Here is a 12,210-nt window from a genome sequence, read left to right on the forward strand (position 1 = left end):
CCATCAGTCTACCCTCGGCCTCCATGAGATCCACTTATTCAGTTCCCACATGAGTGAGATCATGTGATATCTGCTCTTCCTGTGCTTGGCTTGTTTCACTTAACACAATGGCCTCTAGTTCCATCCATGCTGCTACAAATGACAGGATTTCTTTCTTTTTATGGCTGAGTAATATTCCATTGTGTATATGTACCACATTTTCTTCATCCATCCATCTGCTGATGGACACTTAGGTTGACTCCATATGTTGGCTATTATGAAAAGTGCTGCAATAAACATGGGAGTGCAGATGTCTCTTTGATTTACTGATTTCCTTTCTTTTGGATATATACCCAGCAGTGGGAATGCTGGATGATAGCTCTATATTTATTTTTTGAGGAACTGCCATACTGTTCTCCATAGTGGCTGTACTACTTTATATTCCCACCAATAGTGTACGAGGCTTCCCCTTTCTCCAGATCCTTGCCAGCATTTGCTATTCTTTCTCCCTTTGATAATAGTCATTCTAGCTGGGGTAAGATATGGAACATGTTCCCAGGCAATTCCATCACTCTTTTCTTAGGTTTCAGAGTCTTCTTTTAAGCTAGAAACATCATTTTAGTTAACATAAAAATGAGAGAGAACCTCCTAACGGCCTACTGGGATAAACTCACTTAAAAATGTGGTTCCCCCCTTTTAGGGACTGGACGTGGTCATCAATTTTAATGGCTTTCTAGCAGCAGATGGTTTTACATAATCTGCTAATGACCATTTTTTTATTTGAAATTTTTTTATGTCCCTACATTTATGTCCCTTCAGTATCCCCTGAATGCATATAATAATGCAAATATCTAGAATATTGAATGCAACTTAGTTTTTGGGAAGGGCAAGTGTTTCAGATTTAGGATGTTTTCACATTTTGGAATGTTTGCATTACACTGGTTGAGCATTCCTAATCCGAAAATCCCAAATCTGAAATTATCCAATGAGCATTTCCTTTGAGAGTCAGGATAGTGCTCAAAAGGTTTTGGATGTGGGGGAATTTTGGATTTTGGATTTTCAGATTAGGGATGCTCGATCTGTAATAACAATAGCCAATATTTACTGAGGGCTCACCACAGAACAGATACTATGCTTAAATATGTTCATATTTCACAGCTGAAGAATCTGAGACACCAAGAAATTAAATAATTTATGTAAGATTGCATAGCTTGTGAGGGGAAAAATTGGAACTGAACCTAGGGGAGCCTACTCCAAAGTGCAGTCCCTGAACCCCTATGCTTTCGTTTTAGCAGTAACTGTGAAGAACAACAATGCTCTTAGCTAGAAATTGGTTCATTTTGCAATTTATAAATGGCAGTAGAGTTATTTTTCTTCTCCCTTGAGAAAAGTACTTGAGATGTCTAGAATTGATGATTCCTGGTTTTTCCTCTGAAAGTACAGGGCTGGGAGCCAGAAATCCAGGCCTGCCAACTATGGCTTGAGGTAAGTCTTCCTACCCTTCAGTTTCGTTAGCTGCAATATGGAAATGATTGTCTATTCCAACTTCTTATAAAAATGCTCTGGAGAAATTGTCTCAACAATGTAAGCTACAACACCTCTCTGGTATACAGCTACCATGGATGTCAGGTACAAGTGAAAACCAAGTAAAAAAATATGACCAGCGTGAGTCAGAGTTTTTAACAAGCCAAGCCACCCCCTTGGTGTTCGGCACTGGAATGCTTTCCTTATACATAACATCCAGCCACAATCAGAGCCAGGCTTGGAGACTCTGAGTTCCACAGGGAGAGACAGCTGCAGTCAGGCTGCGATCCTGGAGAGCCGAGTGGCTCCTGCGTGTGTGGGCAACCCCTTCTTGGAGAAAACCTGTTAATATCCTCTGCTCACAGACATGACTTCATGCACCAAGCACACAGTCTCTCCAGTTTTCCAAGGGCTGAGGGGCTCGCTCCCTACTCTGTAACTCTAGAAAGAAGACCCCTGGGGTGTCTGCCCACTCCAGAGAGGGACTGTAACAGGAAGTCAGATGGGCAGGTTGCTGGAATTTGGAAGACACGGGGGCTTCTCCCAAGAGTGCCCTGAAAGAGACTAGCGTGGACAAGGTCTAGGCAACACGGAGCAACCCAAGCCCTCCTCTGCCAGCGTCACTCCTGCCAGGTCCTCTCTTCTACCCTTAGCAACCAGTGGACACAGAGACTTTGGAAGGGCCTCCAGGCCTTGGCCTGGATGCAGAGGGCCCTGAGAAGAGACACAGGTGGCAGTCAGTCTGACTATCCTCTCGCCCTGTCCTCATTTCCCACAGCTGGATCCTCCTGCCCTGCCCTGGGATTGACCACACCTCTGGCTTGGAGGTTATGTCTGATCTTTATCACAGGAAGGGAAACTCGCTCCATCCCCAAGGAAAGAGAACCAAGGATGCCAGAAAGGAAAGCTTCCCCCAGAAGATGGGACAATTTCCCTTACAAAGTCTGGCAGTCATCTACCCCGAAGCAGGGACCTAGACAAGTGTGTCTTCCTGGGGTTCCTCTCAGAGAGGAGAGTCAAGGCTGGAAGGGCTTATTTCTTTAAGAACCATTTGAATGTGCCATGCCTGTTTAGGACACTCTTTAACAAAGGGGTGATAAGAGTTTAATGGGCTGATTTATCTGGAACCTATTCTGAAAAGGAAATACCCAGATCAGTGAATGGTGCCCTGTGACAGTGGAGTGAGATTTTCCAAACACTGGGCCTGTTTGTTTCCTAAAGTGCTATCACCTCATACTGTATGTTGTGCAAATCCATAAACAGCATCCTAGTGTATTTTTCTTCTTGTTTTGTTGCTGGAGAGCAGGTATCTTATGTGGAAAATTATTTACTGAGGAAAAAATGTCAATTTCTACAAACATGTCTATTGTCTTTCTATTTATATTATAAGACATACTTGAAAGGGAAAAAAGGTACCTGACTTCACAAGGACTTCTTGTTGCCACTATCCAGAGAGGCAGCACCGGGAGACAGGGCAAGCACGGACCTGGCTGTCAGCAAACCTGGGTTCCAGGCCAAGCCCCACCAGGAGGAGCTGGGAAGCCCTGGCTGACTGCCAGCCCCAGGTGTTTATCCACAGCCTGTAGTTTCCTTATTCTGCGTGGTGCTAAGTTTCTATGATGACCCACTTCTCTGAACTTTGAGCATGGATCGTGAGTGCCTTTACCACCAACCACTCTGGGCTGCCTTAGGAAAGGGAGATGGGGTGGACGAGGAACGAAAGGTGGGTAAACCCATATCATGCCCTGTGACACCAAGAGCAAGCAGGAGGATTCAGGCCCTGCTGTGGCCTGCTGTTTTCCCTGCCCAGAATCCACTTCTTTTTCTCTATTAGGTAAAGGGAACTCCTCCATTCTCAGCCCATGTGGTTTGAGAGGGCTGACTCACCTCCAGCTCCACGGTGGGCATGAAGCCCAGGCATATGCCCACAAGCAGCTGTCCACAATGACAAGTTCGAGGATGGGCACGAGGTCCAATACTGCCAACGAGAGTTAGGCCTGGGGCATTACATGCATCTGTTGGAATGAAAAAAGCATGTTCTACTTCTGGAGTCACTCTGGAAGTGGAGCCTAGAGCCACTGACGGCCGTTTTATCACATGGAGAAGAAACCTGCTTAAGAATGGAGCCAAAGGAAAGCAGGGCCAAGAGATGGCTCCAGACTGGACTCTGGTCACATCATCTGAGTCCCTGAGACCAGTATTAACCCTTGACCTTTCAAGTATGTAAGTCAATAAAGGTCTGTGTTGCTTTAGTCAATTTGAGTAGGTGTCTGTGATTTGCAATACGAAGAGTCCTGATAGACATGTCCATAAAGATATGACATAATGAAGAATTCCTCATATCTCAGGCAGTGTGTGTATTGTTTGGTTTAGATTAGAAACAAAATCAGGAATGTGGGTGTAGAGCCAGTTCAGCCTCTGGCTCAACACAGGAATCTCCTGAATGAAACACACAATTCTGATTCTTGCCACGATAGTGGTTAAATATGACATGAAGGAGAGCTCACTTTCATCTATGGAAGTCTATTCAACCTTTTGATGTATCTAATCATAAAGGTTTTTATGTGGAACTGACATCTAGAGCTGTGAAATGGTTATCAGCCCTTTGTTTCTGGAGAAACACAGACTGAGGTTGCTCCCGGGGAGGTCTTCCATCTGTAGCGCCACGCAACGGCCCCTCCCTCTGATGGAGCGGGGGCCCCTTACTTAGACCTGTAACTCAGGTTTCCATCAGAAAGTCATGAATTATTACTGAGAGGCTTGACTCTGCCTCTCACTACCTCTTTTGCCATTTTGATTTCTTCTGTCCCTGAGTTTGATTAGGCAGGCTTAAAAATGTTTAATAATGTTTCTTATCTTTCTGTTTCTTTCTTCTTAATTCCTTCTGCAATCACTGTGGGTTATACCCTAATTTGTCCGGCCTGATTATATCAATAATCTGCTTTTTTTTTTTTTTCTGTCCTGGGATTCCCCTTTCATTCTACTTCTGCCATAATAATCTCTTTAAAGTACAGTGCAGATCATACCCTACCCCCGGCCCCAAATCATTCTTCTACTGTTTACCAACTTAACCCTGACATTCAAAGGCCTCTATACTTGTCCCCTTTCCCTCCCCAACATTCCAAATCCTACTGCCCACCATGCCCTAGTCCTCAGACCCCAACAGAGCCCCCAGCCCCTCCCAGCTTGCTAATCCCTCCCCACAGCCATTCTTTGTGCATGCCTTCCCCTCAGCCTTTCTAGTCCCCATTTTTCCTCTTCTCCATTGATTACAGCCTGGTCTTTAAAACCTAACTTAAATCCTTCTTTCCTTACCAGTTTAGAATGACCTCTAATGCACCCACTGCAAATACCACTTAGCTGGCATTTAGTCACATACTAATTTTTATTGTAATTTAAATTGTGAAGTCTATGAGTCTTTTCATTTATATTACAAGTTACATGGGGGCGGTTACAGAATTCTTATACATTTTTGTGTGACAGCAGAGCCCAGGACTGTGAATGCTGGCCAATGGATTATATTTAGGTTATACTGATAGGTTATATTTTTTTGTCTCAAATGTCCTTGCCCTGTGCATACTTCCTGGAAACCATGTGGGTAGAAAGGAGCATTTCAGTTTTATGTCTACGGCAGATTCCTCTGCTTTTTCCTTGTCACAAAATCCCAATCTTGTCCAAGTGTCACAGGTCCTATGGGGAGCCCAGGCCCCTCCCCAGGCCCAGGGGAGGGTGTGAGGGTGTGAATATCAATTAGTCAGAGATCCAATCATAGTAATTCGCTTCTTGGCCATGATTGGTTTAGGCATGAATACAGAATGCAATTTTGACTAATAAGCTGCAAGGGGAAATGTGTTGGGAGATTCTGAAAAAGGTTTTACTCATTCAAAAAAGGGACCCTATGAAGCGAAATTTGCTTTGTTCTCTTTTGGATGTTGCTGTACGAGAATACGATGCCTGGAGCCACTGCAGCTATCTTTTAAGGGGAGATGTCTAAGGACACTGAAGACAGCAGAGAGGGGGAAAGAACCTGGGCCTTTGATGACTTTGTTCAGCTCTGAACGAATTCTGGAAAGTCCCCATCTCCAGACTTCTTTTACTATATTTCATCACTGTTGAGATGATTTATTTTTTGGTATATTTTAACAATGCTGAAATTAGAATGCATCTTTTATGGTATGTCATAGCTAAGCTAAACTGGTAGCATTTTTTCCTTTCTTAATGGAACCTAAAATAATTGAGTGTTTTACAAAGAGCCACATCTAAGATTTCCTGAAATGTGGAATGTCCTTATTGTTATCCATCTTTAGTAGGTTTTCTGCTACTCTCCTCTAAAAGTATCCTAACTGACACAGCTCTTTTCCTCGCAGGAGGATGCTGTGTGGGAAGAGTGTTTGTAATAAGAGGTAGCACAGCTGCAGGCTGGCCCTTCGGGAGGATGTCCCTGCTCTGAGTGGGGCCTGCGCTCTCTCTCTCATGGAAGAGACTCTACTCTTCTTGTGATTTAGAGCAAATGACCTGTGCAGGATGCTCTTCCTCCCTGCCATAGAGGTCACCACAGCAACTGAAGCTTACTCTATGGCTGGTGCAGATCCTAAAACAGCCAGTATATGGGGGTGCCACCTTTAATGACAATTGTCTTGGGCTTTTTGAAATCTAGAGTCTTAGTCCACTTAGCTGGGGAATGAGGAAAGGTCACAGGAAATGCTAGAATTAGGTCAACTAATCCCAGGGCAACAATGCTCAGCCCCTACTAAGAACACTGCCTTGCGGGTGGAGGCTGCACCCCACCCCACACTCCTCACCCCTTCCTACAGAGGTGGGGTCAGAGCTATTGCCCCTTCCTGCTGGAACCTCTTCCCAGGGGAGTCCCTCTCATCTCCTCTCCCTCCATCCCTCCTCTCCCTCATTCTTCTCTCTCCTCCCCTCCACTCTGCAGTCCCTAGTCATGGAGAGACTGAGATTAGCACCTTCAAACCTGTATTTTGAGTTATGTTTTTTCCTAGACAATTTAAAATATAAGATCACAAAATAAAATCCTACAGGGGTCCCGTGTCACCCCATATAGACTAGTGAATGACACACTTGTGGTGTACCCACTTTACTCCAGGGGCAATAGGGAGTTTTCTCATTCTTTGAAATAAATTTTAGCTGCATTTCCTTGAGACTTCTTTCCTTGAAACAAAGCACAACAGGCTGCTCTTACCAGCCCCAGACTCCCTTGATTTTGGAGAGCGGAGGAACAGACCGTGTGAGGGCAAGGGGAAGGGGTCACCACAGCCTCTCTACCTGTCTCCAGCAGACAACTCGGAGGGCTACACCAGTGCACAGGGGCTCAGAGGTGGCTCCTTTCAGCGTCTTTCCCTGCCTCTCTGCCCTCCCCCTCCCACCAAAGTTCAAGTGCAGCTTCTGCTCTAAGTCTTTGCACAGCCCCATCTACTCTGAGCTGGAGCTTAGGAAGCTGGAGTCACTCACCCACATAGAAATACTCTGGGGACTTGTCCTCTGATGATAACTCCTTTATGGCACCTCCGAACCGAAACCATAGTCCAAAAGCAATGACGGCCGATCCAGCCAGCTGGAAGGCAAACGACACTGTGTTTACAGTGGAAGGGGAAAGAGCATGCACAGATCCGAGAGCAGGCTCTAGGCACAGGATGCTGACAAGGTCACCCCTTTGGAAATCACTTAGACCACCTTCCCATTTTATAGGGGAGAAAATGAAGGCTCAGAGAGGTGAAGTGATGTGCACGAAGCCCCTCAGGCCCCTGATGTGACATTGGACTGGGTTTTTCTGATTCTGAAAGCAGGGTTTTTCCATGATGCCAGGCTGCCCTGTGGTTATGGGGCACACACAGCACAGCCAGGGAGGTGTCTCAAAAGCAATGTTCCAATAACATTCCCTCTGGAAGGCATCTGCCCCTGCCTTTTTGTCCCTTGCTGGGCATGTTGGATCTCTTCACCCACACCACAACGAGAGGTGACTATGTCTCAGCTGCCAGGTCACCAAGAGCACGATGAACTCCAAGACCTGGGGGAAACCCACTTTTCTGAATGGGAAGAAAATACAGCAACCTCAACCTCAGAACCCACCCACACCTCGTGAGTGCACAGTCCCCAAATAGAAAGCGGTTTTAGGGGCATTTGTAACCCTCTCCACCATCCTATATGGTCACTGCCCTGACTGGGGATGGTTTTGCTGGTAGGGAGATAGCCTAGTCTTTTTTTTTTTTGGTTGCTATTTTGAGTTTCCATGGAAAGTGAGAAAGGAAAAAATAATTTTCTGAAAAAGCGTGGTCTGTGTGCTGTGTGGCTCATGGAGAGGCTGAGTGGCTGGCACAGGCAGTGGCTAGGCAGGCTGGCGGCTGGTAGAGTCATCACCCGGCTTCCTTTCCTTCCCTACTCTGAAGGCTTTTGTGAGGCTCAGCTTGGAAGTTGGAAGCCCTTTCTGCCATCTCAGGACTGTCATTGCTGCGTGCCAGCAGGCTCTAGCCACGGTGTTTTCTCTCCACAAACACCACTCTCGAATTTCACTGTATCAATCCATCAACAGATATTTACTGGACACCTTCTGGGCCCAGGGCACCATGGGAAAGTAAGCAGAGATATAAAAATAGCCTCCTAATTCTGCTAGCCCATCCAGTTGCTGTTGGGCTGCCCTAGTCTACCACTAAATGAACAATTTAGAGGCTTCCCCTGCCCAAACAGAGCAGAGCACACACAGACGCTGGGAACAGGAGCATGGAGGATGGAAATCAGAGAAGCAGAGGTCTAAAAGGAAAAATCGCACCAGAGACAGCATAGTCCTTTTTATACAGGGGACTTCTGTCTTGCCAGGCAGCTTATAAAGGACCCGGAACTAGCCTTCTGGACGATCTGGCTGGATTTCTATGAGGACTTTATCCCTCTTCTCCTTCTATCTCCCAAGGCCAATCCCCTTTGTGGCCAGCTTCTTCAGAAAAGAGGTGCGACCTCAGTGAGGAGGAGTCAGAGGGGCAGAATTCTACCAGCTGGACTCTCCCTTGTGGAGTAACTAAAAGTTTCCAGTACTTAGAGGAAAGCACTAATTGGATAATGTGAGGGGCAGCTAAAGGACCCGGGATCAATCAGCTTCTGAAAGACGTCTGCATTTAAAAAAAGGGTGGCATGTCATGGAAACATATTGAAAGGAGTTTTGCTAAAACATTATTTATGAAGGACAGGATTCCAGGTGACTTTTTTCCTTCTCAGTATATTTTCTAAGTTCTCTGCATTAAGCATGTATTTCTCTTGTAACTTTAAAAATACATTTTTAAAGTGTTACACGGTAGTTTCTATGTGCAATCCAGAAAAAGTGGGGAGAGTCTTCTTGGGCCATGCTTTAACTTGGGAGGACACCAGCTTTGAGGTCCTTGCTGTTCCTGTGTAGGAAAGAGAGCAATGCCCTTGGTCAATCACCTAGGTTCCTCCTAGAAGCATCTGGAGGCTGCCTGGGACAAGTCTGCCCAGCAAAGCCTCACAGGCAACCCTGCACGCCCTCATCTCTGTGGCGACTCAATGGAAAGACAGAGTTTCCAAATACAAAGCAAGACCTATTGACAGAGGCATCAGGCCAAAGCCAGCAGCCACCGAGCAGACTGTGGAGGAGGTGACTGGTCCCAGGGACACCCCACCACGAGGCCACATTTTTGGAATCTCTGTACACAAACTCTAATTTATAGCTGTCTGGGATTATCCTCCCAGACAGAATACATTTGTCCAGTTCTGGCACAGATGTGTTTGATGCATAATGGAAAATTAAAAGAGAGGTTGCAATTTAAAGCCATTGGGCAATGGGAAAAAATCTGCGCTTGCTCATCCATGCCCCTAACCCCCAACCACACGGGTTTCCTCCTGGGTCAAGGAAACTGTGGCTTAGCTGAATGTCATCACTGTGTGGAAGGGAATCCTCCCAGCAGGCTGCTGCCGGCTGTGTCAGGGATGCTGTGGGTAAGGACCCGGCCAGGGTTGATGCTGCTTGTGACAAGAGACAGGGCGATCACTGCTCTGGAAAGTGGCATCGGCACAGACCACACAGCACTTTGGTCCTTTTTAACTCGCCATTCCTTTAAGATTCATGGAATGCTCTGTGTTCACTGGGCTTTGATCACAGACTAGAAATTGCTTGAAAAAAATTCACACCAGTTCCAGTCCAGTCAGGAACAAAGTGAGCATGTCAGTGTCACTAAGTTCTCAACATTCCCTGTATTCCATAGAGCTGGAGGAAATGGTCTCCCCAAAGACCTGAAGGAAGTCTTCAAACTCTCTAATCCTAAATTTTAACCCGATGAGGCCAAAACTGCCTCACGCCCACATTCTCTCTTCTCCCTTTAGTCTCAACCCCTCTTGCATTCAGACATAACATTGCACCTCAGCCAATGTTAAAACAAATAAGAAATGGGAGGCTACCATTTTTTTTTTAACCTTTCCTTCTTCTGCCCCCAGCCACATCTCCCTTCCCTGTCTTTCTTCCTTGCATGTTTATTAAGAATAAACTACAGTCCAGGCCAGGTACTGTGCTCAGTGTCAGGGAAACGATGATGAAAAAGACATGGTTCATAGTCTAATGTGGTAGATAGTCACATAAAGTACTAAGTGCACTATAATGCAGGAAGTGTGCTGAAGAGGAACAGCATGCACACTGCCAAGGGATTGGAGCAAACTGTAGCCACTGGCATGCAGGAGGAATCATTAAATTTTAATTTACATCTTGAAGAATGAGTGAGAAGTCACTGGGCAAGGAACGACTGGCAGCAGAGGCGAATTCCAGGCAGAGATGGTAGTACAGAGGTTCATTTCCTTACCTCGATGCTGTGTTTGTTAAGGAGAGTCTGGGGGAGGTCGGAGGTTGGGGCTTGAGAGGGTGTGGGACAGACCATGACTCGGCTTCTACTTTGTTTGCTACCATCTTGGAAAGCCCATAGCAAGGTCTGCCTGAGGGGAGGAGGGACAGAAGCCCACACTTTGATGGAAACCATCAGGAGCATGAATGTTACCTGGAGGTCAGACATAGCAGGGAGCCAAAGGGAAAGGCTTGAATGGCTGAGGACCAGGGACAGGACACCAGGGGAGTGGACGTGGAGAGCTGTGAGAACTACGAACTCACTGTACTCATTGAAGAACTTTGCTGAGGGCTGCCCTGCTTCCAGGACCAGCGCCAATCCCTGTGCCTTTGGAACAATTACAACTAGAAACATTGTTGTTTTTCTGGAAATGGACTTTTTCATACAGAAGCAAAAGTTGGACTTTGATGTTAATCCTTTAAAATACACTTATTGAGCAACTACTATGAGTCAGAAGCCAAGGTTTCAGAGATGAGGAAAGTCCAGTCCTTCTTCTGGGGCTCAAGGAGACGCTAATCCCCACTGGGTGGCCCAGGAGGGAATCCAACCCTGCAGGTGGGAAGTCAATCCAGAGGCAGCCCACCAGAATGCACATGAGAAATTGCCAGAAAGCACCATTTTTTGAGTCCTCCCTCCCTTTTTTTTTTTTTGACAAGGTCTCACTCTGTCACCCAGGCTGGAGTACAGTGGTGCCATCACAGCTCACTGCAGCCTCAACTTCCCGGGCTCTAGCGATCCACCACCTCAGCCCTCCAAGTAGCTGGGAATACAGGCACACACCATCACACTAGCTAATTTTTGTATTTTTTGTAGAGATGGGGTTTTACCATGTTGCCTAAGCTAGTCTCGAACTCCTGGACTCAAGTGATCTGCTCACCTCAGCCTCTCAAAGTACTAGGATTACAAGTATGAGCCACCGTGCCCAGCCTCATCATTCCTTTTCTGAGGACCGGTTGTATGTGAGGTACTCAGAGAATGTGATAAAATAGTATTTAAGGGCAAGAGTGTGCCAACTGTTAAAAAGAGGACAAGAAAAATACTTAAAAAAAAAAAAAGAAGATAAGAATGCAGGGAAAGGAATAGATAGTGACAATAATTCCAAGTCATTAAATAGGGGATCATCACATATGGTTATAGTACGTATTGTCTTGGGCAAGTTCTTTCAGTAGCTAACCATATTCCAGAGAGTTTGGAGGACACGAAATTGCAAATTGTAAGCATATGTCTTTAGTGAAAACAATGTGTGTTCTAAAACTCAAGAAACAGAAGAAGGACTGAAAACTTGATTAGAAAGCATTTAAAGCAAAGTGGATGGACAAAAAGTTTTCTTTAATAATGGCTATCTGCCAAAAAAAAGTCATCGTGCATGAAGCAGAGCTTGCTAATAGATTTCAATTTTATTTTACTGTACTTACTTCCATTTCCTGGGATTGCTGATGAGATGTCCTATCTTGAGGACATATTTTTTCATTTTAAAAAAAGACAGGTTTCACAAATTGCAAACATGGTCCCTAGGCAGGCGCTGCGGTTGGAGTGGGGTGGTGCTGAGATGCAAGAATGCAGAGATCATTCCTCATTCTGGCCTCCCCAGTCTGCCCAGCTGTCCTCCTTTTCCTGGAGGTTAGCCAACCAGATCACCAAGAGCAAATACCTGCTATCCACTTTCTAGTGACTAAGTCCAGCAAAAAAGCCCCCTTTGGGGGTAAAAAGCATCATTTAGGGAAGTTCTAGACAGCATGTGCACTGATACCTAAGTGGGAAACACAGGTCCTGGCCCTCAGATGCTCCAGCTACAGTTTCAGATCCTTCCTGCCCCTGTGGAGGTCTCTGTTCTTGCTGTTCCCTCCTC

General features: G+C 45.8%; 1 protein-coding gene and 1 long non-coding RNA gene across 5 annotated transcripts in view; one reads left to right on the forward strand and one right to left on the reverse strand.

Annotated features, from left to right (window-relative positions):
• TSPAN2 (tetraspanin 2) overlaps positions 1-12,210 on the reverse strand; it is a 41,493-nt gene that overhangs the window by 17,919 nt on the left and 11,364 nt on the right. For all 4 annotated transcript variants that reach the window (XM_016999996.2, NM_001308315.2, NM_001308316.2 and 1 more), the window contains exon 2: positions 6,976-7,078. In XM_016999996.2, coding sequence (XP_016855485.1) covers positions 6,976-7,078 — 103 coding nt within the window. The remainder of the gene's footprint in view (positions 1-6,975; positions 7,079-12,210) is intronic.
• On the forward strand, positions 2,967-3,760 carry LOC124904359 (uncharacterized). The gene is made up of 2 exons (XR_007066474.1): positions 2,967-3,068; positions 3,338-3,760. It is a non-coding gene; the product is annotated as an uncharacterized LOC124904359 (long non-coding RNA).

Source organism: Homo sapiens, chromosome 1 (genome assembly GCF_000001405.40).
Source record: "Homo sapiens chromosome 1, GRCh38.p14 Primary Assembly".
NCBI lineage: Eukaryota > Metazoa > Chordata > Mammalia > Primates > Hominidae > Homo > Homo sapiens.